Source organism: Homo sapiens, chromosome 4, assembly GCF_000001405.40.
Source record: "Homo sapiens chromosome 4, GRCh38.p14 Primary Assembly".
NCBI classification, from domain to species: Eukaryota; Metazoa; Chordata; class Mammalia; order Primates; family Hominidae; genus Homo; species Homo sapiens.
The window spans coordinates 77,850,161-77,876,808 of record NC_000004.12 but is presented as its reverse complement, the minus strand read 5'-3'; the positions used below and the strand labels follow the sequence as shown (position 1 = coordinate 77,876,808).

At 41.0% G+C, this 26,648-nt stretch overlaps 1 protein-coding gene across 3 annotated transcripts in view, besides 3 other annotated features; it reads right to left on the bottom strand.

Moving 5' to 3' along the window:
* MRPL1 (mitochondrial ribosomal protein L1) overlaps positions 1-13,979 on the bottom strand; it is an 89,956-nt gene extending 75,977 nt beyond the window's left edge. For 2 of the 3 annotated variants that reach the window (NM_020236.4, XM_047416090.1), the window contains exons 1-2: positions 13,930-13,979; positions 4,954-5,065 (exon numbers count right to left, since the gene is read on the bottom strand). In NM_020236.4, coding sequence (NP_064621.3) covers positions 4,954-5,065; positions 13,930-13,960 — 143 coding nt within the window. In that variant the 5' untranslated portion in view covers positions 13,961-13,979. Of the gene's footprint in view, positions 1-4,953; positions 5,066-13,795 lie in introns of all 3 variants that reach the window. The other variant, XM_047416089.1, reaches the window with a different exon arrangement.
* Positions 13,432-13,531: an enhancer, noted in NCBI's record as "active region_21642". NCBI's record gives its function as "activates an Ori minimal core promoter by ATAC-STARR-seq in GM12878 lymphoblastoid cells {active_cell/tissue: GM12878}" and the evidence as "EXISTENCE:reporter gene assay evidence [ECO:0000049][PMID:35858748]".
* Positions 13,892-14,291: an enhancer, noted in NCBI's record as "active region_21641". NCBI's record gives its function as "activates an Ori minimal core promoter by ATAC-STARR-seq in GM12878 lymphoblastoid cells {active_cell/tissue: GM12878}" and the evidence as "EXISTENCE:reporter gene assay evidence [ECO:0000049][PMID:35858748]".
* Positions 15,776-15,991: a silencer, noted in NCBI's record as "fragment chr4:78781972-78782187 (GRCh37/hg19 assembly coordinates)". NCBI's record gives its function as "represses an EF-1alpha promoter that drives an FKBP-Casp9 reporter gene in an ReSE screen in K562 erythroleukemia cells {active_cell/tissue: K562}" and the evidence as "EXISTENCE:reporter gene assay evidence [ECO:0000049][PMID:32094911]".

Here is a 26,648-nt window from a genome sequence, read left to right as displayed (position 1 = left end):
ACTGGCAAATAGAGGATATATGCTTGCACAACACAGGGTAGAGGGGAGAGCCAAAAGGACAGACAAGAGAAGCTAGCAGGTGCCCCTCTACTCCATTCAGATTCTGATAAAAAACAAAATCTAGCCATGAAAAAAATATTTTTTAGTGTATTATAAAGTCAATACATTAAACAATAAAAACTACAACTAAAATTATGAATACTATGATTCTCATCAAACTACTAAGTAACTCTCATTGTCAGACATGAAAAAAACCATCTGCTTATAAATTTTCATGGTTTTTTAAGAGTAGGCATATTTCTTGTTCTATGCTCTCTAGGTTTTTGAAAAGCACATTTAAAACCATACTGGAATAGAACTTGGGGTAGACACAAATGAAACATTTCTAGGGTATAAAGGAAAACAACATTTAAAGATAAAATATTCTTGAAATAATTAGTATCCCTAATAAATAACTATGTTTACAGAGCAGAGAGAAAAAGACGAAGCCCAACAGAAAAACAGGCAAAAGGCATAAGCCAGAAATACAGTAAAGAGGCTGGGCATGGTGGCTCACACCTGTAATCCCAGCACTCTGGGAGGCTGAGGCGGGCAGATCACTTGAGGTCAGCAGTCTGAGACCAGCCTGGCCAACATGGTGAAACCCCATCTCTGCCAAAACTACAAAAATTAGCAAGGTGTGGTGGTGCACGCCTGTAATCCTAGCTACTTGGGAGGCTGAGGCAAGAGAATCGCCTGAACCTGGGAGGTGGAGGCTACAATGAGCTGAGATCATGCCACTGCACTCCAACCTGGTCAACAGAGCAAGACTCCATCTCAAAAAAATAAATAAATAAATACAGTGAAGAAACACAAATGAAGATTGATGGTATCCAAGGTTGTTAGGCATGTGGAAAACTGGCACTACTCACTAATTACTAAGTGGGGATATAAACTGGTACAAGCGGTACTCCAGCAACTTAACAATAAAAAGAATCCAGGCACTATTCACACTCAAAGGAAGCCTCCTTTCTTGTTAGATTTCTGCCACCTCCGTATTCATCTTATATTCAAACCAAATTAGTTATGTTTGTATATGTATCATTCACTTTCATGTCTCTGCACTACCGAAATACCTTTCAACCAATTCCCCTGCAAAATTCTTTTTTTTTTTGTTTTTGGCAGAGTCTCAATCTGTTGCCCAGGCTGGAGGGCAGTGGCGCGATCTTGGCTCACTGCAACCTCCACCTCCCAGGTTCAAGCAATGCTTGTGCCTCAGTCTCCTGAGTAGCCAGGATTACAGGCATGCACCACCAAGCCCAGCTAATTTTTTGGTATTTTTAGTAGAGATAGGGTTTCACCAAGCTGGTCTCAAACTCCTGACCTCAAGTGGTCCACCCACCTTGGCCTCCCAAAGTGCTGGGATTACAAGCATGGGCCACCACACCCAGCCCCCTGCAAAATTCTATCTTTCAAGACCTAGCTCAAATACTTCTTGCCCTACTCTTCCCCAGACAGAATTGACATTTCATCTGTGATCGCATAGCACTTGATCCAATCCTCTAATATGACAGTTAAAACAGTCATACTAATCAGAAGTTGTATCACAGACGTGTTAATTCATAATATACGAATATCATATTTGTATATAACAATATATAGAGAAGCTTCTACATATCAATAACAACAAAAAATTAGAATAGGACATGAACAGAAAATTCACAGTAAAGAAAACATAAACGGGCCAGGCATGGTGGCTCACGCCTGTAATCCCAGCACTTTGGGAGGCCAAGGCAGGTGGATCACCTGAGGTCAGGAGTTCAAGACCAGCCTGACCAACATGGTGAAACCCCATCTCTACTAAAAATACAAAAAAAAAAATTAGCCGGGCGTTGTGGCGTGTGCCTGTAATCCCAGCTACTCGGGAGGCTGAGGCAGGAGAATCGCTTGAACCTGGGAGGCGGAGGTTGCAGTGAGCTGAGATTGCACCATTGCACTCCAGCCTGGGCGACAAGAGCAAAACTTCACCTCAAAAAAAAAAAAAAAAGAAAAGAAAATATAAGTGGCTCTTAAACATATGAAGAGGTATACAACCTCATTAATAATAAAAGAAATATAAATATAATAATGCTATTTATTACCTATCAAATTGTCAAAGATGAAAAAATTTGACTATACTATACATGGGAAAATTGGCATTGTAATAATACTTGCTGGTAAAAATACTGGCAAGATTTCTATGAAGGCAATTTGGTATTACTTATCAAAATTATAAATGCACACATCTTTTGACCCAACAATTCTATTTCTCAGAGTTTATGCTACAAACATATTCATTATATTTGACAGGATCTATATGCATGATTATTCACTTGCAGGATCACTTGTAATAGAAAAAGAATGGAAAGAAAAATGTGCCTCAATAGGGGAATAGTTACATAAATTATGCACTACTACATTTCACACAATGAAATGCAGTTAAAATGACTAGACAGCTCCATATGAAACTATTTCCAAGATATATTGTTAACTTAAATGCAGGCGGTCCGGGTGCGGTAGCTCACACCTGTAATCCCAGCACTTTGGGAGGCCAAGGCGGGCAGATCACAAGGTCAGGAGTTTGAGACCAGCCTGGCCAACATAGTGAAACCCCGTCTCTACTAAAAATACAAAAAATTAGCTGGGCGTGGTGGCAGGCGCCTACTTAGGAGGCTGAGGCAGGAGAATCATTTGAACCCGGGAGGTGGAAGTTGCAGTCAGCCAAGATCGCAGCACCGCGCTCCAGCCCAGGTGACAGTGCAAGAATCCATCTCAAAAAAAAAAAAAAAGCAGGCAATATGCAAAACAGGGTACATAGTACACTACCATTTATGTAAAAAACAAATAATATACTCATGTACTTACATATGCACAGACGATTACAAAGGGCTAAAGGATGGGGTGGGAAGAAGACCAACTTTTCACTAAATACTATGCTTACCATGAATATCTTTTATCTTTTACCATGAATTATCTTTTATCTACTCACAGAGTTAACTAACTCATTTTAATTAATTCATTTAAAACAAAAAGCAATTGTTTATGTTGCTGTCAGTTCACTGTGAAAATCTCAAAGACAGAGGAACGGAATGTGTGCCTTGTTCATCTTCATATCATCATTTTGCACAGTGCCAGGCCTACAGCAGATGCTCAACAAAGTATGCTAAGTAAGAGGCAACTGAGGCACAGTTGTCTGATATTAAATTAAGTTTATGGAAATAAGAATATATTAAGTGAAAATTTACAGTCAGCAAAAACTTTCTACCCTTTAGTTTTCATTTTGGGTATCCCATAACCTGAGGACTGTATTCTAGCAAATTTCATCATAAAGTAAGATTTTTGTAGCTGGGACTCTATTTGCTTTGCAGACCCTATCCTCCAGAGCCAATGATTCTATTATTATATACTAACCATGAAGAGTGTGACAGTTCTAAAGTCAGAAAATTTAGGCTGAAATCCTTCCTCCAACACATTCTAGTTGTGTAACTTTGAACGTATTACTTAACCTCTGGACTTCCATTCCTTCATCTGTAAAACACTTACAATAGTATCTATGCTTCACAGAGTGTTGTGAAATTTAAAAGAACTAACATATGCTATGTGCTTTGTATACTGCCTAGCACAAAGGAAGCATTCTATAAATTTTAACTATTATTATCCTAGAGCTTTTTGGCAAGAAACCAGATCCTGCTCTTGGAAATACAAAGTTGAGAGAACAGATTTCATTCCTTTACATATATCTTATCTTATTTTATTTTTGAGACAGAGTCTCCTCTGTTGCCCAGGCTAGAGTGTAGTGGCGCAATCTCAGCTCACTGCAACCTCTGCCTCCCAGGTTCAAGTGATTCTCCTATCTCAGCCTCCCAAGTAGCAGGGATTACAGGTACACACCACTATGTCCAGCTAATTTTGTTTTGTTTTTTGTTTTGAGATGGAGTCTCACTCTGTCGCCCAGGCTGGAGCACAGTGGTGCGATCTCGGCTTGCTGCAACCTCTGCTGCCCAGGTTCAAGCGATTCTCCCACCTCAGCCTCCCGAGTGGCTGGGATTACAGGTGCCTGCCCCCACACCCGGCCAATTTTTGTAGTTTCAGCAGAGATAGGGTTTCACCATCTTGGCCAGGCTGGTCTTGAACTGCCGACTTCGTGATCCACCCGCCTCGGCCTCCCAAAGTGCCGGGATCACAGGTGTGAGCCACGGTGCCCGCTAATTTTGTATTTTTAGTAGACACGGGGTTTCACCACGTTGGCTAGGCTGGTCTCGAACTCCTGACCTCAAGTGATTTGCCTGCCTTGGCCTACCAAAGTGCTGGGATTATAGATGTAAGCCACCATACCCAGCCAAAATAATACAAATTTATACCCAATATATATACTATGCAAATCTGAAATCTTACTATGTAATCATAGTACGGATAATCCTCTAATACATGATGTATAAAAAGTGCCTAAAAGGAAAAAATATAATTTAAAGGACAGAAAGAAATTAAATTAATTTCTTAATTAAATTAAAATTCATTAATTGCAACAGTGGGTTCTGTTCTAAAAAGGCAGCGAAAGCATACTGGAAAAAGCTTTGGTTCTGGAATAAACTCCATGGATTCAAACCCTAGCTCTAAAATTTAGTAGCTCTCTGACCTTGGGCTAGTTATATAACCTACCAGTGCCTCGATTTTCTTCTCTGTAAATTGTGCATAATAACAATAGCTTCCTCATAAGGTTGCTGTTGGGAATAAGTTAGTTATTGAACATCAGTGTTCAATAAACGTTAAGTATTATTATGTCTTATCTTTCCTTCAGGACTATAAGGTCGATGAAGCAGAAATAATAAACTTTTACAACTATATGTCCTGGTAAATCTTTATGGAACTAAACATGCTTTTTAAAAAAAATTAAAATGACAACAAATGAAATAATAACTAAAAAAAAATACTTACTTTGTAGCAGCAGCAAAATGTCTGTTGGGCACTCGGATGTTTACAGAACAAGAACAAAGTGATGTCTGATAAACCATCTTGGAAAGGCTATGCCTTTGATGATGTATCAAGGCTTGAAAGGAAAAACATGTAAAATATTAACATTAAATAATCATTATATTCATAATTTTTTAATTTTAAAAGTCAGTACTTTCAAAATGAAAACATTCAATATTTTGTGATTTTTAATCCTTCTTTTAAAAGTGTAATAATAGCCAGGCACAGTGTCTCATGCCTGTAATCCCAGTACTTTAGGAGGCTGAGGCGGGTGAATCACGAGGTTAGGAGATCAAGACCATCCTTGCTAACACGGTGAAACCCCGTCTCTACTAAAAATACAAAAGATTAGCCAGGCATGGTGGCACGAACCTGTAGTCCCAGCTACTTGGGAGGCTGAGGCAGGAGAATCGTTTGAACCCAGGAGGCGGAGGTTGCAGTGAGCCGATATAGCGCCACCGCACTCCAGCCTGGGCGACAGAGTGATACTCCATCTCAAAAAAAAAAAAAAGTGTAATAATAGAAACCACAGTTCTTGAAACTAAAAGCAGGTAAATACATCTAATATTTGAACTATCTTATCTTTTTTTTTTCTTTTAAAGACAGGCTTTCACTCTGTCACCCAGGCTGGAGTACAGTGGCATGAACACAGCTCACTATAACCTTGAACTCCTGGGTTCAAGTGGGCCTCCCTCCTCAGCCTCTCAAGGCTCTGGGGTTTTCATCTATTTTTAACTTAAACTATTTCATATTCATCAGAGTATGTTAGTTCTATTATTAGGGAATATGTATATGTATCCCAAAATTTCTTAATTTATTTGTTCATTTTTACAATAAATAAGACATTAACACAGTTGCCCAAGTACTTCTGAAGATAAGAACAAAGTGGGGTACTGGATCTGTGAGAAATAAGAAAAAGGTACACAGGTCTTTGAAGGTATTGTTAATGTTCTATTTTTTTAAGCTTAATAGTGAATATTTAGAATTTCAAGCTATTATTATTCTTTTCATCTTAACTATATTCTTTTGCGTGTGTAAATATTAGAAATATGTTTTTATTTAAAGATTACAAAAGTAAAGTCTTCCTCCTACACCTGGCCCCCAGCTTCTCTCCCATGTTAGCAATACCTTATGCATCTTTTTAGAAACACTATATACATATATAAACATATAGGTACCAATATATTTCCCTCCTCTTTTATAAAATGGTAGCATACTCTAATCACTACTCCATCTTGCTTTTTCACCTAAAGGTATTAGAGCCTATTTTCACAAACATACACACACATATACATGAGATGCAGATGAGATTTTATGTGTGCCTTTCATAAAGGTGTGTGTACATGCATACATTTGAGAGATCACTTCATATCAGTTTATAAAGATTTTATTGCTGAGTGTGGTGGCTCATGCATGGAATCCCAGCACTTTGAAAAATCACGTATGATAAATGAAGGAACAAGCAATTATCCATTCGAAGCTTGGCAAACACTTCCAAACAATTCTAGTTGTACTATACAAGAACCTAACAACCTTGGAAGATCCCAAAATAATAATTCTCTTGGGGAAACAAACAAAAAAATCTCTTGAACATATCAATTGCAATCTGCTATTTTAAAAAATCAAGGCCAGTCACAGTGGCTCATGTCTGTAATCCCAGCACTTTGGGAGGCCAAGGCAGGAGGAACCCTTGAGCCCAGGAGCTCGAGCCCAGCCTGGGCAATAGAGTGGAACCCCATCTCTACAAAAAATTTAAAAATTAGCGACGGTGCACAGCTGTAGTCCCAGCTACTCAGGAAGCTGAGGTGGGAGGATTGCTTGAGGTGGCAGGATCACTTGAGCCAGGAAAGTTGAGGCTGCAGTGAGTTCTGATCTCACTATTCCACTCCAGACTGGGTGACAGGAACCCTGTCTCAAAAAAACAAAACAGGCTGGGTGCGGTGGCTCACACCTGTAATCCCAGCACTTTGGGAAGCTGAGGTGGGTGGATCACCTGAGGTCAGGAGTTTGAGACCAGCCTGACCAAGATGATGAAACTGTCTCTACTAAAAACGCAAAAAAAATTAGCTGAGTGTGTTGGTGCATGCCTGTAATCCCAGCTACCTGAGAGGCTGAGGCACAAGAATCGCTTGAACCTGGATGGCAGAGGTTGCAGTGAGCCGCGCCACTGCACTCCAGCCTGGGCAACAAGAGCGAAACTCTGTCTCAAAAACAAACAAACAAACAAACAAACAAACAACAAAAAGCAAGCAAGCAAGCAAAACCACTACTATCAGTCATGACAACCAGAAACTACAATTTTCAACAGAAATCAAACACTACAGACCAAAAGAAACCAAATACCACTATTTAAGTAGCACTGTTAGATCATGATATCTATGTTTTCAATCCTTTTGTAGTCAATTTGTCTAGCTGTATTATTTTATCTCCTTTATTAATACATTTCTCTTCCCCTTATTCTTAGCATATAACCTCACTTGCTACTTCAGAGAAAATAGCCCTCAGAACTTCCTGAACTACTGAGTCTCCCTGATCCAGCACTCATTCTCAAAATCTCTCCCACCCCGTGGCAATGAGATAGAAACAACTCCCTCTCCTTTCTTATCTCTTTTAATTGATAGTGAAAGGTTAGAGTTCCCTTGAGGTCAGTCCTATACTGCCTTCTCACCTGACTCTATAATCCTCACTCTCCCTAGGGAATCGTATCCATCTATTCTTGCCTTTCTGCTACAACCATCACAGTCCAGGCTACCATCACCTACCACCTGGATTACTGCCACAGCCTCTAAACTGTTCTGTCTTCTACACTTGGCCCTCTCCATTTCTTTTCCACCTATATTAGTAAGAGGGATCATTTTAAAATGAAAATTTCACCATGTCCTTAAAATACTTGGATGGCTAAACTTGGCTCTTTGAACAAAGGAAATTTTTACCAAGGTACTCCACGAGCTACTACTAAACTATCCAGTGAGCATCCTCTAGCCCCACTCTCCCTCATGTTCACCATGCTACAAATACACTCATCTTCTTTCAGTTACTTGACTCTGTTCTTTACCACCTAAGAATTTTCATAATCTTCCATCTATGACATTTTCCCCTATTGCTTTCCACTCCACTAGTTCATAGTAATACAGTTATCTTTCAAGGACTCTACTTAACATTATTTCTTCAGAAGAGTCTCCCCTGAATAGATTAGGTCTCTCATATACATTTGTATAACATCTTACACTTTTCCTTCACAGCACTTAGGACAATTTTAACTAAAGAAATAATTATCCAGGTCGGGCGTGGTGGCTCATGCCGGTAATCCCAGCACTTTGGGAGGTTGAGGAGGGTGGATCACAAGATAAGGAGTTCAAGACCAGCCTGGCCAACATGGTAAAACCCCGTCTCTACTAAAAATACAAAAAAAATTAGCCGGGTGTGGTGGCATGCTCCTGTAATCCCAGCTACTCGGGAGGCTGAGGCAGGAACTGCTTGAACCCCAGAGTCAGAGGTTGCAGTGAGCCAAGATTGAGCCACTGCACTCCAGCCTAGGCAACAGAGGAAGAGTCCATCACAGAAAAAAAAACAAAATATACACACAAAAGTTAGCTGGGCATGGTGACACGTGCCTGTAGTCCCAGCTACTCAGGAGGCTGAAGCAGGAAAATCACTTGAAGCTGGGAAGCAGAGGTTGCAGTGGGCCAAGATCGTGCCACTGCACTCCAGCCTAGGCAACAGAGTGAGACTCCATCTCAAAAGGAAAAAAAAAAGAAATAACTGGCCAGGCGCGGTGGCTCATGTCTGTAATCCCAGCACTTTGGGGGGCTGAGGTGGGCGGATCACGAGGTCAGGAGATCAAGACCATCCTGGCTAACACGGTGAAACCCCGTCTCTACTAAAAATACAAAAAATTAGCCAGGCATGGTGGCGGGCGCCTATAGTCTCAGCTACTCGGGAGGCTGAAGCAGGAGAACGGCGTGAACCCGGAAGGCAGAGCTGGCAGTGAGCCGAGATCGTGCCACTGCCCTCTAGCCTGGTCGACAGAGCAAGACTCCGTCTAAAAAAAAAAAAAAAAAAAAAAAAAAAAAGAAATAACTATCCAAGGCTGGGTGTAGTGGTTCACGCATGTAATCCCAACACTGGGAAGCCAAGGCGGGTTGATCGCTCATGCCTATAATGCCAGCACTTCAGAAGACTGAGGTGGGAGGATAATTTGAGCCCAGGAGTTCAAGACCAGCTTGGGCAACATAGTGAGACCCCGTCTCTTGAAAGAAAAGAAAAGAAAAAGAAAAAGAAAAAGAAAAGAATTATCCAATTAATTCCTGCTCCTCAATAGATGGTAAGCATCATGGGCAGGAAATGTATATAGCTTGTTCAGCATTGTATACCTAGCACCTAGCACAGTGTTTGTCAAGTGAAGACTCTAAATAAACATTTGTTGAATGAAGAAAATTTGAACAAATGAGAGCAAAAATTGGACTCAAATATTATGCATTACAGCACATGAAAGGGGCCATTTTTCTGATGATCCATTTATTCATTCATTCATTCAACAAATACGCCAATGAAACATGTGCTAGCACTGCTGGAAGCATTTAGGTACATCAGTGAATAAAACATAAAAATCCCTATCCTCATAGGGCTTATGTCTAGAGGGGGAAGACAATACCAATAAAAATAATTGGGGGATGGAGGCACTGCAGGATAAAAGGGATTGTATCAGTGGAAAGTGGTTTGCAATTTTAAGTATAGTGGTTAAGACAAGCCTCATTAAAAGGGTGACATTTGAGGCCAGGCATGGTGGCTCATGCCTGTAATCCCAGCACTTTGGGAGGCCGAGGTGGGAGGATCACGAGGTCAGGAGGTCGAGACCAGCCTGGCCAACATGTTGAAACCCCATCTCTACTAAAAATACAAAAATTAGCTGGCCGTTGTGACAGGCGCCTGTAATCCCAGCTATTCAGGAGGCTGAGGCAGGAGAATCGTCTGAACCCAGGAGGCGGAGGTTGCAGTGAGCCGAGATCGCGCCATTGCACTCCAGCCTGGGCAACAAGAGCGAAACTCTGTCTCAAAAAAAAAAAAAAAGGGGGGTGATATTTCAGCAAAGAGTTGAAAAGATATGGGAAAGTTAGCCACGCAAACACCAAGAAACTGTTCTAGGGCAAAGATTCTAAGGCAAGAGTGTTCTTAATGTGTTTAAGAAACTAGAAGGCCAGCTGGTTACAGCAGAGTGAGTGTGAGGGAGGATAGATGGAGAAGAGGTCAGAGAGGTCAGCTGGGTGAGGCGGGGGTAGGAGAAGGTAGGCACAAGGTGATATCGAAGACTTGTACACCAGTGCTACTCAACAGAAGAATAATGTAAGCCACATGTACAATTTAAAATTTTCTAATAACTACAATATATAAGGTAAAAAGAAACAGTAAGTTAATATTTTATCACTAATACCCCAAAGTATTATTAAATTATCAATGTAAAAAAATTGGGCTGGGTGTGGTGGCTCACGCCTGTAATCCCAGCAGTATGGGATGCTGAGGCGGGTGGATCACCTGAGGTCAGGAGTTCAAGACCAACCTGGTCAACAGGGCAAAACCTCGTCTCTACTGAAAATACAAACATTACCCGGACCCAGTGGCATGTGCCTGTAATCCCAGCTCCTCGGGAGGCTGAGACTACAGAATCACTTGAACCTGGGAGGCACAGGTTACAGTGAGCCGAGATCATGCCACTGCACTCTAGCCTGGACAACAGAGCAAGACTCCATCTCAGAAAAAAGTATTTTACATGTTTTTTTTTATGCTAAGCCCTCAAAATCTAATGTATATTTGACAAATTCAATTCAGATTAACCAATTTGAAGTGCTCAATAAATAGTGGCTAACAAAATGAATAGCACAACTGTAGGCCATTCTAAGGGCTTTGGATTTAGAAAAATGGAAAGGCTTTGCAGAGTTCTGAGCACAGGAGTAACATGACTGAGGTCCTTAAAGGATGAATTTCACTACTCATTGACAGTAGACTGTAGAGAAATCCAAGTGAGAGATGGTAGCAGGTGGGAACAAGGTAGCTGCAGTGGGGCAGTGAGAAGTCAGAGTCTGGATTTATTTTAAGCGTAAAGCCAACAGGATTTGCAAACTATTTAATGTAAAGTGTGAGATACAGAGAGGAGTCAGCCAGGTGCAGTGGCTCAGAGCCTGTACTGCCAGCACTTCAGGAGACTGAAGTGGAAGGATCACTTGAGCCCAGGAGCTCGAGAGCAGCCTGGGCAACACAGTGAGATCTCATCTCTACCAAAAAAAAAATTAGCTGGTCATAGTGGGCCCCAGAGGTCAAGGCTGCAGTGAGCCGTGACCGGGCCACTGCACTCTAGCCTGGCCAACACAGTGAGATCCTGTCTCAAAAAAAAAAAAGAGTCAAGGATATTCTGAGGTTTTGGCCTGGACAAATGAAGGATGGAATTGCCTTCAAATGAGAAGAAAAAGACTGCAGGCTATGACAATGAATTTGATTTTAAACAACTGCAAGGTGCTGATATGCTATCAAAGTGGAGATGTAGAATACTCAGATGAGTATAAGAATCTAAAGTTCAGAAGAGTGATCCCAACTGTAGATATAAATTTGATAACCATTAAGGTATAGACAATAATCGGCTGGGCATGGTGGCTCATGCCTGTAATCCCAGCACTTTGGGAGGCAGAGGTGAGTGGATCACTTGAGATCAGGAGTTCGAGACCAGCCTGGCCAACATGGTGAAACCCCACCTCTACTAAAAATACAAAAATTAGCCGGGCATGGTGGCACGCGCCTGTAATCCCAGCTACTTGGGAGGCTGAGGCACAAGAATTGCTTGAACCCGGGAGGCAGAGGTTGCATGAGCCAAGATCGTGCCACTGCACTCCAGCCTGGGTGACAGAGCAAGATTCCTTCTCAAAAAAAAAAAAAAAAAAGATATACACAATAATTGGCCATCCATTTCTCCAACAGCCAGGAAGAATGCTGGTATTGAGGCTAATACCTAAAAAGAACAGTAGCTACCGTGGCTTCCAGTGCTTTAATGAACCTCCGATGTGGGGCCTTCTGGCAAAACATTTGCAATTTCATATTGTTGAAGCATTCATTGTATCCCTGGGGGTTTTCGCTATGTTCGCGGTGGCTGAGCCAAGAAAGAAGGCATGTGTCGACTCCTACAGAAATGATGATTCCATAAAAGATTTTGAGGAGATGAGGAAAACGTATATTTCAGAGCACAAAGTGATTTTGCAATATAAAGAATTTCTTTGGGTTGAATTACCTAAAAGTTTGTCACTGACCTGTGTTCTTGAACTATGAAATGTGAAAGTTTCTCCTGATAAGTAAACAATTAAAAAAATAAAAAAGATAGACAATAATCAAAGCCACAAACTTTGGATGAGCTAACCAAGGAGTGAATTTAGATACAGAAGAGATGAGAATGAAGGATGGAACCCTGGCTTCCAGAACACTCCAAAGTAAAGAGGCTGGGGAGAGGAAGAGGAACCAGCCAAGTAATGTGAGAAAAAATGACACATGAAATAGGAAGACAATTAACAGAGAGATATCCTAGAAGCCAAGAGAAGAAAATGTGACAAGAAAATTATAATATTCAGGTATTTTTGGTTTCTTTGGATTTGTGTAACATAACGATTTCTGTCATACATGAAGATGCCTTCAACCTCCTTTCAGAAATAATATACATTTTGGTTTGCTCACAAAGTAGGCATCAGGGTCTGTTGTTATCTCTTGTCACCCCTAATTTTTGAGCAATAACTCTCTTGACACAGTTTTCCTAAAAAGAAACTCAAAAAAAAAAAAAAAAAAACTGTGATGCAGTGTTAAATATACATGTATCACTGACCTAGGATTGCAAGCTTCAGTACTTCCTCTGCCATTTACTAGTTATATGAACTTGGCCACATATCTAATAAGTTCAGTTTCTTCCTCTGTAAAATGGGGGTAATGCTGGCTACTGCTTCTACCTAAAGACCTACCTAAATTAAACAATATATATCACTGGACTTCAAAAACACAAAATAAAAGCAAAAAGCGTTGCACAGGCCGGGCGCAGTGCCTCACGCCTGTAATCCCAGCACTTTGAGAGGCCGAGGAGGGCGGATCACCTGCGATTAGGAGTGCAAGACTAGCCTGGTCAACATGGTGAAACCCTGTCTCTACTACAAATACAAAAATTAGCCAGGCATGGTGGCACACGCCTGTAGTCTCTGCTACTCGGGAGGCCGAGGCAGGAGAATCGCTTGAACCTGGGAGACGGAGGTTGCAGTGAGCTGAGATCGCACCACAGCACTCCCAGCCTGGGTGGCAGAGCGAGACTGCCGTCTCAAAAAAAAAAAAAAAAAAAAATTGTTGCACAAGAAAGGGCTGTCATCGTAGACAAAAAGTTGAAATTATTAAGATGAAAAGAGGCGCTACCAAGAGGTACTACAGAATTAGCCCCCTCAAATGATAAACGTTGATCCAAATTAGACCACCTATGGAAGTTTAAGAACTGGAATCGCCTATAACGAAGTAATTCCGAAAGCACCAAAAAGCACTTTGAAAATTGCTCTAATTTACAGACTTAAGCCACTCAAATACATCATCTTTCCCTTATCAGAACTCACCTCACTTATCACACTCCACTACCCGCAGCCCACACCCCAGTATCAGAGACGACCCAGTCCTTGCCATGCCCATAGGTGGCTGGAGGGCGCTCGATGTACGTCCCGCTCCCACTCCCTCCCTCAGGGTGGACGTCTCCAGAATGGAGTGAAACCCTTCATAAGGTCACTTTTAAGTAGTAATGACCCACCCTCTGAAAAACCTAGAGACCAGAAACAGCACGAGGCATTTTCAGCACCCAGAGCAGAATCCGCCTTGCACTCTGCTGCAACCAGAGACTCGGTGCCAGAGCCATTTCCCCTGCAAGACAACCCCTCGCCTTACCTCTACCCATGCACCTTACGGCCGCCGCCATGTTGGGCACTCCGGATTGCGTTCACGAAATTGTTCCTACGTTTCTACTGGGAAGAATTAAAAAAAGGTTCCGTTCTAGAATCCGCAAAGAGGGAAGGAGTTAAAAAGAGAAAGAGGAACGGGGCGGGGACCAAAATGAGCTTTGCTGCCGGCGTGGCGGTGTTACTGTTAGTCCTCCGTGTTGCCCAGGACCCTGTGTGTTTCGTGGTTCCGGTATGGCTGGTTAACCACCTTCGGGAAAATACGATCCTGTTGGCGATGCTGTGATTATTTTAATCCTTCCTTCTTATTCTTTTTCTTTTTTGATCCTGCAAGTGTACTCAGAGCGACAATTTTAACAGGCTGTGAGAGTACTTAATACCCAACGTAAAATCTTGAAAAACAGGAACCCTGAAACCCACTAGCTTCCTCCGCCACTTTTCCGGCCTTGGAAAGACTTATTTTAAAAATTCTCTAGGCGTTTTCGCCGCTACCCGAGGGAGGTGTCCAACTCACTGACAAACTTTTTTTGCTAATTGTCAAACTTTCTGTCAGCGCAAGATCAACCTTAGCTTTAAAATCTTAAATTAATCTCTACATTTACCCCCTGCTGGCAAGCGAGTAGACTTACCATTAGGATCAATTGAATAATAATACTTGACATTTATAAAACATTTCTAGTTTTAAAATGGCAGCTCCAAGACCCACGCACAAGTTATTCTGATAGGAAAAAAAAACAAAAACAAAACAGAATGAGTGTACTTTCCATTACGTCACAGCTGTCGGTGTGGTTTATCTAAAACAAATCTGATTACGGATTTTATCACTTCCCAGCTTACCTCCCCCACAACACACACACACACACACACACACACACACACACACACACGTTTCTCACCTCCATAACTTGGTTCATTCTATCTTCTCTGCTTCGTGTGTACCGTACCCTACATCACCTAGGTAACTTTTTAAAGATTTCGCCTCAGGCTGTGTTTCTTTTAAACAGTTTTGAGATATAATTTACATAGCATACAATCTACCAATTTAAATTGTACAATTAAATGGTTTTTAGTGTACTCAAAGAGTTGTGCAGCCATCACCACAATATATCAGTTCTTGTCACCAGTCTGAGCTTTTTATGGGTAGAAACCATCTTACTCATTTTTGTAACCTCAGCACATACTTCAGTGCCAGGCCCATAGGAGGCTCTCAGTAAATGTTTGCTGAATAAATGAATATATGCATACATGAATTAGTGACTCAATTAGAATGGCAAGCCTGCAAAATTAACTTGCTTCAATGAAGCTGCCCACAGGCAGATGAACTGGATCAAAGGCATTTCCCAGATGCTTTATTCATATTTATACATAGTACTCATCTACATGAAAAAATAAGATTTCTAATGTATTGCCTTGTCTTGTTAACACCTAAGCAGTTACTTCAAAGATTCTATAACAATTTGTGACTTATGCAAAAAAATCGAAGAACTTAAATCTATCTTTGTAAACTTTTCCTTCTCTCCCTCGCTCCCTCTCATCCTCCCTTCTTTTCACAAATATATGAGTGCCTGCCATGTGTCAAGCAGTGTACTTGGCTATGCATAAATGAAAAAAACTAATTCAATTTGAGAGTAAGTACCAGAATTGGAGCAAGTTTACCCAGTCAATTTCAGAGAAAAACAAACACTCAGATTAGAGGTGCTGGTCCTTAGACCCTATATCTGTTTCCTTTCCACAGTCCACAGCTGGGGTCAGTTGGCCCCCATCTGTGGACTTTTTTTTCCCCCTCTCAAGACAGGATCTCACTCTGACACCCAAGCTGGAGTGCAGTGACAAGATCATAGCTCATTGCAGCCTTCACCTGCTGGGCTCAAGTGATCCTCATGTCTCAGCCTCCCAAGGGGCTGGGACTACAGGCACACACCACCACACCTGGCTAACTTATTTTTATTTTTCTTTATAGACAGCGGGGAGTGTGGGGTGTCTTTCTTTTTTGCCCAGGCTGGTCTCAAACTCCTGGCTTCAAGCAATCCCAAAGTGCTGGGATTACAGGTGTGAACCAACACGGCAGGCCCCATTTATGGACTTTTTTATGTCTACTGTTCTAACAAGAGAGTTTAAACATCCTATATTGAAACTATTACCATATAGTATGCTTACATACCATATAGTATGCTTATAGTGGTAGCCTAATTAAAGTAATGTCCTGTACAGGTACAGCTTACCTGTTGCCCACTCTGGTCACCAGAACTCGATGGCATTAGGTAGGATCCAGATTCCAGTTTTGTATATAACAATACATAAAGAGATTCCTTAGCCTGAGACTTTATTTTTATTTTTTTGAGACGAAGTCTCACTCTTTCGCCCAGGCTGGGGTGCAGTGGTGTGATCTCGGGCTCACTGCAAGCTCCGCCTCCCAGGTTCACGCCATTCTCCTGCTTCAGCCTCCCGAGTAGCTGGGACTACAGGCGCCCACCACCATGCACGGCTAATTTTTTATATTTTTAGTAGAGACGGGGTTTCACCGTGTTAGCCAGGATGGTCTCAGTCTCCTGACCTCGTGATCCACCCGCCTCGGCCTCCCAGAGTGCCGGGATTACAGGCGTGAGCCACCGCTCCCGGCCTTAGCCTGAGACTTTATAAAAACAACAAAAGGACTTTATAAAAACTACAAAAATCCATACTCTGAAATGGGAACTCCAAGACTGTAAATATTTAGTACATAATGAGTTTCTTCTCACTAAAAAGAGGTAATAGAGCAGGAATATCCAATCTTTTAGACCACACATAAAATACACTAATGATAGCTGATGAACTTAAAAAAAAAATCATCAAAAAATCTCATAATGTTTTAAGAAAGTTTACAAATTTGTGTTGGGCCGCATTCAAAGTCATACTGGGCTGCATGTGGCTGGCAGGCTGTGGGTTGGATAAGCTTGTAATAGAGCATTTTGGTTAAGCAGCTGTGCCCTGGAGCCAAACTGCCTAGGTTTGAATTCCAGTATTATCACTTAGTAGTTGTGTGACCTGGGGCAAATTTATATACCTCTCTGGGCCTTGGTTTCCCTGATATGGGGCTAATAATAAAATAATTTACTGAGGTGCTTACTGAAGTACTTGGCACAGAGTAAGCACTCAAAAAATATTAAGTGTCATTATTAAAGAACCAGTGAGAGCTCTGAACCAGAAAGGCAAAATGAATAAGCTGTTCTAGTACTCCTTCTTCCAATATCTGCTTATTTCTTAACATGATCCATGCTGTTGTTATTCCCACATGTATAAGGATGTCACTTTCTTTATATTAGAACTTTTATATGTATTTGCAGAAGGTCTTTAGACTGTATTATGGACTTAAAATTCACTTTAAAATGCAACTTTTGATTTCTAGGAAGATTTATACTTTCCAGGAGTCTTGGCAAAATGCCAGCTGCCAGCCTGCTTGGCTAATTTCCCTGGGAAAAGCTAATAAATATTTGTCTAGCCCTGTAACTTACTTGATCTGTGTTCTCTGCCTTCTTCAGCCATCTTCCAGTTGAGTTGGAAACTTCTTTGCAAGAAGTGTCACTTCCCTTTGGGGTTCAAGTTGAAAATGGATTCTCGGCCGGGCGTGGTGGCTCACGCCTGTAATCCCAGCATTTGGTAGGCCGAGGCGGGTGGATCACCTGACGTCAGGAGTTCGGGACTAGCCTGACCGACATGGAGAAACCCTGTCTCTACTAAAAAAATACAAAATTAGCCAGGCGTGGTGGTGCATGACTGTAATCCCAGCTACATGGGAGGCTGAGGCAGGAGAATCGCTTGAACCCAGGGGGCAGAGGTTGCCGTGAGCCAAGATCGCGCCATTGCACTCCAGCCTGGGCAACAAGAGTGAAACTCCATCTCAAAATAAAAAGAAAAAAGAAAATGGATTCTCTTATTAGACAAAAATAAGGAACTCCAAGACATTTCCTATTTCAGTAATGTGCATCAGAATCACTCAGAAGGCTTGTTAAACTCAGGTTGCTGGGCCCCACCCCCAGAGCTTCTGATCCAGTAGGTCTGAGATGGGGCCTGTGAGTATAATAAATTCTCAGGAGATACTGATTTACTGGCCCAGTGACCGTACTTTCAAAACTACTCCCTATGTAATACCATGAAATATTTGCATTTATACCCAATGTTAACTTGGGGAGGAGCTGTTGTTTTGTTTAAAATTTTTATGGTCAATATAATATAGACTATAAACGTTCCTCATGGGATATGTCTCCAGAACCAGAATCTACCCAGTCTTATTTTCTTCCTCTCTACATACAAACTGCTATTCTATGCCTGGGTTTCAACTCCAAACTGTCCACCTGCCAGCTGAGAAAATTTCCAATGCCTGTCTGTCTGCCTATCTGGGTCTTAAGTATTACCAACTCCTAGATTCCCTTTCCCCCTTGTGCTTACTTCGGAATCAGATCTTTTTTTCCCATGAAGAAATGTCTATCTAGGAAAATGTTTTTTTAGTCACAAGGCTGAAAGTTCAGTAAGTGGCAGACTGGAACTCATTTTGTCTTGTCCCCCACACGTGACAGTTTTTATGTCCAAAAGCCCCCAGGAGATTTGTTTAATAGTAGATTGATTTAGGAGATTTAGAACTGTCCAGTGGTGTGTTGGTAAAAGTTTAACAACTGGTTCTCCAGTATAAAAGAAATGAATTTGTACCATTTGTCAATTTCCATGGTGTAAATACTCCCACAAGTAGGTGACTTCAAGCCACCAAACATAAAATCAACCAACTCAAAATTTCTGACAATTTATCAATTGGTTCTTGCATAGCTACAACATACTACTAGAAGATTTCAAGTGCAAGTCTTCAGTAATTTTTAGGAGGCCTAAACCAAACCAATTCATCCTAGAGCCATAATTAAACTTTAATGTGAATTCAAATCACCTGGAAATCTTATTAAAATGTAGATTCTGATTTGGTAGGCCTAGGATGGGGCTTGAGATTCTGATTTCTTTTTTTTCTTTTTTTGAGACGAAGTCTCTCTCTTGTCCCCCAGGCTGGAGTGCAGTGGCGTGATCTTGGCTCACTGTAACCTCCACCTCCCGGGTTCAAGTGATTCTCCTGCCTCAGCCGCCCAAGGAGCTGGGATTACAGGCGCCTGCCACTACGCCCGGCTAATTTTTGTATTGTTAGTAGAGATGGGGTTTCACAATGTTGGCCAGGCTGGTCTCGAACTCCTGACCTCAGGCAATCCACCCGCCTCGGCCTCCCAAAGTGCTGGGATTACAGGCATGAGCCACCACGCCCGGCCTCTGATTTCTAACAGGCTCCTAACAGTGATGTTGATGCTGCTGGTTCGCAGACCACCCTTTGAGTAGCAAGGTCCTAGAGCATATTTGAGAGCAAAACTCACATACCTATCATTAATCCCAAACCAGAACCTTTTAAATAGGCTCCTTCTAATACAGGGAATAGAATAAGTTTAAGTAGATTCACAAATTTCTGGGAGTAAACTCCATTGCCTCCATCTTTCAGCGTCTTTCAATAGAGATACTAAAAATACCATTAGCTTCCTGCCCCACCCACATCTGCTTCTGGTAGAAACTGCCTCCTCTCACATAAATAAAATTCCCCAGCCCAGGATATTTGGATCAGTGGAAGCCATCTGACCCAAGGAAAGCCCACCCATACATGGCCAGTGACCTGCCTTGAAAAGAAAAACTAGATCAATTATTCCTCTCACAAAACCAAAGTTGGGAAAATGAAAGACTGAAACACTCAGGTGGGAAAATTCAAGCTCCAGGGTCATAGAATAAATTCCATGCTAGAACGGCCTTGAAAGGCAATCTGAAACTATTAGGGAACAGAAATGACGAGTGAGTGAAGTTACAGGAAGCCAGTGAGTTGCAATAATATAAGGGAATAAGGATGGCAAGAAAAGCAGAGATACCGCAAGAAAGAAAGAAATCAAGCAGCCTATGAGAGAAAGATAGCAAATGCTGCCTCAGTTCCTGTTAAAGTTTCCAACAAGCCTGCTGTATCTCTATCCCTTTCCCTGCATTCTTGTGAGATCCCTATCTACCATATATATGTCTACAATATCCCTGTTTTCTTGAGCTAGCACCAGTGAATTTCTATATCTTCTTTAAAAAAAACTAATTAAAACTGTGGGACTCTAGTTATTCTGATTTTAATGCTGTATTGGCAGCTCTATTCCAGAATTAGTGGCAAAACCTTAATCATGGAATCTCAGAGTTTGAAAAGCTTTTGGAAGTCTTCATCTACCTACCTCCCTATAATTCTCTGTTTAAATTTCTGGTGATACAGTCTGGAATATTCTGTAAGGTAGTTCATTCCATTTGGGGGCAACTCTAATTGTTAAAAAGTTGTTATATGTATTGAAAGCTTAAATAGTCCTTGTAACCTGGACTAAATGAACCATTCACGTCAATTCCATTTCCACATGGCAACTTTTCTGGTGTTTGAGAATAGCTATCATGTCTCCCTTTAAGTCTTCTCCTCACTTGGCTGAATATGTCCCTATTTTTAACCACTCACAGTTCCTCCCTTTCATGGTGTGGTGATGAGAACCTCTCATCTTACTAGGAGATTTATGAAGGATATACTCTAGATGCCTATGTCTCTCTTAAAATGTAATCCCACAGCTGAACAAAACACTCCAGAGGAGAAAAGAACACTGGGTTCTGGAAAAATTAATGCAACCTAAAATTGTATTAACTTCTTTGGCAGTTCTAATGGCTTCACTTACTACTTTGTAATTCCCTTGCTTGTCCTCAATATTTTATGACAAAAAGTGTACCACGAATATCCTACATTTTGAACTAAACCAAAAGCTAAGGTTCTTTTTGATGAACTTTTTGCTTTAAGATTTCTAAATTCTAAAAAACAGCACTGTCCAATATAAATATAATGCAAGCCACACATGTACTTTTTAATTTTCTAGTAGCTATATTAAAATGGAACAAGTAAAATTAATTATAGTAATTTAACTCAGTATGTTTAACTATAATTGATATAAAAATTATTAAAATATTTTACATTCTTTTTTATATTAAGTATTTAAATTTGATGTGTATTCTACACTTGGAGCACATCAAAGTTAGGACTAACTACATTTCAAAAGCTCAGTAGCCACATATGGCTACCACATTGGACAGCACAATTTTAGAATAATAATAGCTAATGCTTATTGAACACTTACTGTGTGCCAGGGCTTTATTATTTTAACTATTTAAATCTTCACATCAAACCTATGAGATAGGTACTATAATTATTCACAGTTTACAGATGAAAGAACAGAGTCAGGCCTGGTGCAGTGGCTCAGGCCTGTAATCCCAGCACTTTGGGAGGCTGAGACGGGTGGATCACCTGAGGTTGGGAGTTCGAGACCAGCCTGGCCAACATGGAGAAACCCCATCTCTACTTAAAATACAAAATTAGCCAGGCGTGGTGGTGCATGCCTGTAATCCCAGCTACTTGGGAGGCTGAGGCAGGAGAATTGCTTGAACCCGGGAGGCGGAGGTTGCAGTGAGCCAAGATCGTGCCATTGTACTCCAGCCTGGGCAACAAGAGTGAAACTCTGTCTCAAAAAAAATAATAATAAAATAAAGAAAGAAAGAACAGAGTCATGGAGAAGTTAAGTAACTTACCCAGTTAGTAAGTAGTTGGTTGGGATCTGAACCCAGGATGCCTGCCTACAGAGTCTGGGATCTTAACAGCTATTTTACATGTATCACACACATATTGCATGCTGGACACGGTGCTAGTAACTTTGTGTATGGTATTGTGCTTAATCCCCATTTCATGGATGAAAAATCTGAGGCCCTAAGAAATTAGTGACCTGCCAAAGTCCACAAGCTAGTGTTAGATTCTGACACCAAAGCCAATGCATCTGACCACCACACCCTCTTCCTGCTTCACTGCTACCCAGAAACTCTGGTATTTCCACATATATTCAGCCGTGACTCAATATTTCGGTGCTGATGTATTAAATTAGAGAATGGCCAGATAACATCAGAGTGTATAGGAGAAAGTAAGTAACATGTAAGTACATTACACTATTTTTTGATCGTCAAAGCCACGCATATAAATCACAAGTGCCAACAAAACACTAGAGTTATTTTTTTTTATTTCTAATGCATGAGGAGGTAAAACTTGTTTGAAACATTTATCTAAAATATGGATAGACATATTTTTAAAACTTTGTAGACCTGAGAAAAGTAACAATACTGACAAAGCAATTCTCACGAGGACATCTTATTTTTGTAGAGAGTGTGCGTAACTCACAAGAGGAGGCAGTAAGCAATTGAAAGGATATGACACTCTTCCTCCCTTATGTACTGTGTGGCTTTATTGTTTTGTTCACTTCGAAGTGAACTTGACATTTTGTTTTTACTCTCCTTTCAGGTCCTGTCTTTCTTTTAGATTAGGTCAAACTGAGCCTGAGTTCCTTGCCAAGTTCCAGCCTCAGGGTTTTTTTCTCTATCTCTAGGTATCTCTTTTCTACTGCTTCAGGAAATGAGCCCAGGGTTTTCAGAGAAACTTGGGAATTATTTCTTAGTCATTTTTATCTGGACAATATTGAGTTCAAATACTCCAATATTCGCCTGTGCACAGTAGCACTGCATCTTGCCTAAACTATTTTATTCCATCTACTGATGTTTCTGTTGTTCCTTCCAGGTTAGCATTTTTCTTCTTCTTGTAGTTATTAAGTGGTAGATGTAGGGTAGTAGTGGTCTTGGAGGAAATAAGGTAAGGTAGGATGGGAGGGGAATGGAGAGAAAAGAGACTCAGAGTAGAGGGGCCTTTAATAATCAGGAGGCCAGAGGTTCTGGTCAGGCTTTCTTGGCATGGTCAACCCCAGCAAGTTATGTGCCTCAGTTTCTCTATCTGAAAATAGGGGTGACAGTATTTTTATGGCACACAATTCTCCATTGCTGTTCCCCAGCTTCAATGACATCTTGACAATTTATTCTAAACAACTGTGGATAATTGTTAAGGGTTAATATTTAATAGAAAATAAAAGCTGCTTTTCTGGCTCCTCTGGGAGAAATGAAAGAGCTCTAGGCCTTAGCAAACAAACAAACAAAAACAAAACAAAACAAAACAGATCAAAGAACTACACAGGGGTCCAAGGTGAGGAAGAAAAGTAATTAGCATCCTGAGCCATTAGGAAAAATAGATTGTATTTAGAGAATAAAAAACAACAAAAAAAAAGATTTCTCCAAAGGTCAAAGGAAAAAAATATCAACTGGGCATAGGTATATGAGTAAAAGAGTAAATAAAATATCTTTAAACTGTAATAATCTAGGCTCTAAAATATGTGCTGGTAACTTCCTATCTTTTCTTAGTTCGTACCATCATAAATGGTATATGACATGTAATTCTTCATGAAAACACAAGAATGCATCGCTCTTCTGAACCTACCCAGAGGGAAAGCTACAGAAGGCTAGGGAGAGTAAGATGCCCAAGTTCTCAAAGCTCTGCTATAGGAAGAGGCCAGACGCCTTCCGTGGTTTACGGTGAGGGTGGGGAGTTTTGTAGCATTACCACAACTCACCATGTATACTGCACACTGAAAGGATTCAGGAAGTAGCAACTGTATAATAGGAGGGCTTCATTAAATGCAAGCGGTGTGCACCCTGAGATTCACATACAAGCTGGACATACAGAGAATGTCCTGACTTCTTCAGGGGGTCTTTGCGTGGCTCTGAGGAGTGGTTCATCCTAAGGACAGTGAGAATGTTTGAAGGGCACAGGACCAGTATGAAAGGGAAGGCAATTCTGTGAGTGTTCCAATAACACTGTGTCTCCCTTTGTTCCTTGTGGCCTAGGTGCAGTTGTAGCTCCCACGCTTGCCTGTCCACATTTATTTCAATCCCTTATTGGTGCCCTTAACCCTGCCCACACCTCAGTAAATAGTACCCCTTTTAAACTCTCTTCAGTTAAATTATTTGAGTTTACCACCTGTTTCCTGCTCTGTCTCTGGCTATTACAGACACCTAGTCAATATATTGCTAAATCAGATTTTAACTGAAGAGGTGGGATAAACAAAGATAATTACTTACATTGGCCAAAAAAAAAAAAAAAGTTAACACTATGCTAATAATAACAATTTCCAAATTCCAAAGGAAATGCAGGCAAGAAGTCAAACCATTTTCAGCACGTCCTCTTATGGTTAATTTTAGTTCTTAAATCTATGCCGAGGTCTGTGTCTTACAATAAGAATACTACCTTCAACTTACTCACAATGTGCAATGCTACGGCAGTCTTTGCCAAAATCTTTTTCTCTACATAGAAAGAATGGCCTTACCCTATGATTTACACCGCTTCCAACACAGTACATATTCAATATCTAGAGTTGTTCAGTCAAGACGAATGCCTTGGGAACTCCCAACAAGACAGTTCTTTATGTTCATTAGCATTCTCCAAGACCCACAGAACAATCCCAGAGGACCATAGACACTACAGTCTGATACTCTTTAACTTTTCCCTCTAGTGTGAGTTGCAGAAAATGCCTCTTTGTTATTTCAGTTGTCTAGTGGATAACTATTAGATTGTACACACACACACACACACACACACACACACACACACACACACACAATCTCCTAAGGAAAAATATGAATTCTCAGAGACAGTTACTTAACAATACTTTGTTAATACAGTATTGGCCTACAAATATTTTTTAATGGAGCTGATGATTAACCTTAAGATCTAGATTTCTGTCTTATTTTGAAAATAGTCAGATTAAGCCATATTTCTACATAGCTATGATCCACTGGAGCTGAATAGACATTGCAATTTTTAGATGGGCGATCAACTTCCCAGATACACAGTCCTCATCACACTGCATTGCCTCTCTAGGCATTTTACTCATTCACAATATCTGCCTAGACTCTGCAGACACTTGAGTTTGCAGAGTCCCACTCCTTTTTAAATTATGTTCAGTAAGAAATAGATCTACAGTTGAAGAATAAACCTCTTAATAGTTGCTCTATTAGCCAAAAACACCAGGCCAAACCTTTGAAATTACCACTTGTAAGGGTTTGACTAAATTCTTAGGTAAAGATCCATTTGTCAGCTGGGCGCTGTGGCTCACACCTGTAATCCCAGCACTTTGGGAGGCCGAGGCGGGCAGAGCACGAGGTCAGGAGATCGAGACCATCCTGTCTAACATGGTGAAACCCTGTCTCTACTAAAAATATAAAAAATGAGCTGGGCGTGCGGGCGCCTGTAGTCCCAGCTACTCGGGAGGCTGAGGCAGGAGAATGGCGTGAACCTGGGAGGCGGAGCTTGCAGTGAGCCGAGATCGTGCCACTGCACTCCAGCCTGGGCAACGGAGTGAGACTCCGTCTCAAAATAAAAAAAGAAAAAAAGATCCATTTGTCTTTCATATTTTAAGCAATTCATGTAAGTTTTTTTTCCATCTGAACCTTGTATGTTTAATAATTGTTTTTGCTCCTTTTTGTCACTGGTGGTGTGTTTTATGTTCAGATGGTGTCTTTTTCTATTTTATATACATTCATTTGAATACATTAGAAACCCTTAGTCAAACTGGGTTAGGTAAACTAGCTCTCAGTAAATTAGTCTGATCCTACTTAATTCATGATTTTTAATTGAATTAATTAGTGAAAGTTTTCCCATTTGAACCTTGTGGTGTTTTGTCCAGTTTTAGCTTTATATGCTACAGAATATAATATAGTCATAGTTCAGACATTTCTTGTCCCTAGTCTAGAATTCTTGTTTGAAGTCTGTCTACTACCATTCCAACCCATTATTTAAACTTGATTGCCTACATTTGGAAATATAACGGAACACTGTATTTAATTTATTAAATTGATATTGTACTGAAATTGTAATTTTCCAAATGGAATCTCCATTGCCTAAAAAATCTTATTTAGAAAATTCAGAAACTTTTAAGACATTGCTCATTCAGCCAGGTGTGGTGGCTCATGCCTGTAATCCCAGTACTTTGAGAAGCTGAGGCAGGCAGATCACAAGGTCAGGAGTTCAAGACCAGCCTGGCTAATATGGTGAAACTCCATCTCTACTAAAAATACAAAAATTAGCCAGGTTGGTGGCACGCGCCTGCAGTCCCAGCTACTCGGGAGGCTGAGGCAGAAGAATTGCTTGAACTTGGGTGGCGGAGTTTGCAGTGAGCCGAGAGCGTGCCACTGCATTCCAGCCTGAGCGACAGAGCCAGACTCCATCTCAAAAAACAAACAAACAAAAAAGGCAGTACTCACTCAAACTTAGCCATGTTATAGTCACTACTGATTTAAAAATGATAAAGAAAAACATGGTTTTATTGCAATTGTAGTATGCACCCTATTAATCAACTTTGATGTAATCAATTTGTCACAGGCATTTGAACCAGAGCAATCCCAACTCTATATTTATTTATTTATTTAGAGAGGGAGTCTTGCTCCATCTCCCAGGCTGGAGTGCAGTGGAGTGATCTCAGGTCACTGCAACCTCCACCTCCTGGGTTCAAGCAATTCTCCTGCCTCAGCCTCCCCAGTAGCTGGGATTACAGGCACATGCCACCACACCCAGCTGTTTTTGTATTTTCAGTAGAGACGGGGTTTCACCTTGTTGGTCAGGCTGGTCTTGAACTCCTGACCTCAGGTGATCCACCTGCCTCGGCCTCCCAAAGTGTTGGGATTACAGTTGAGAGCCACCGTACCCGGCTATTTACTGAGACAGAGTTTCGCTCT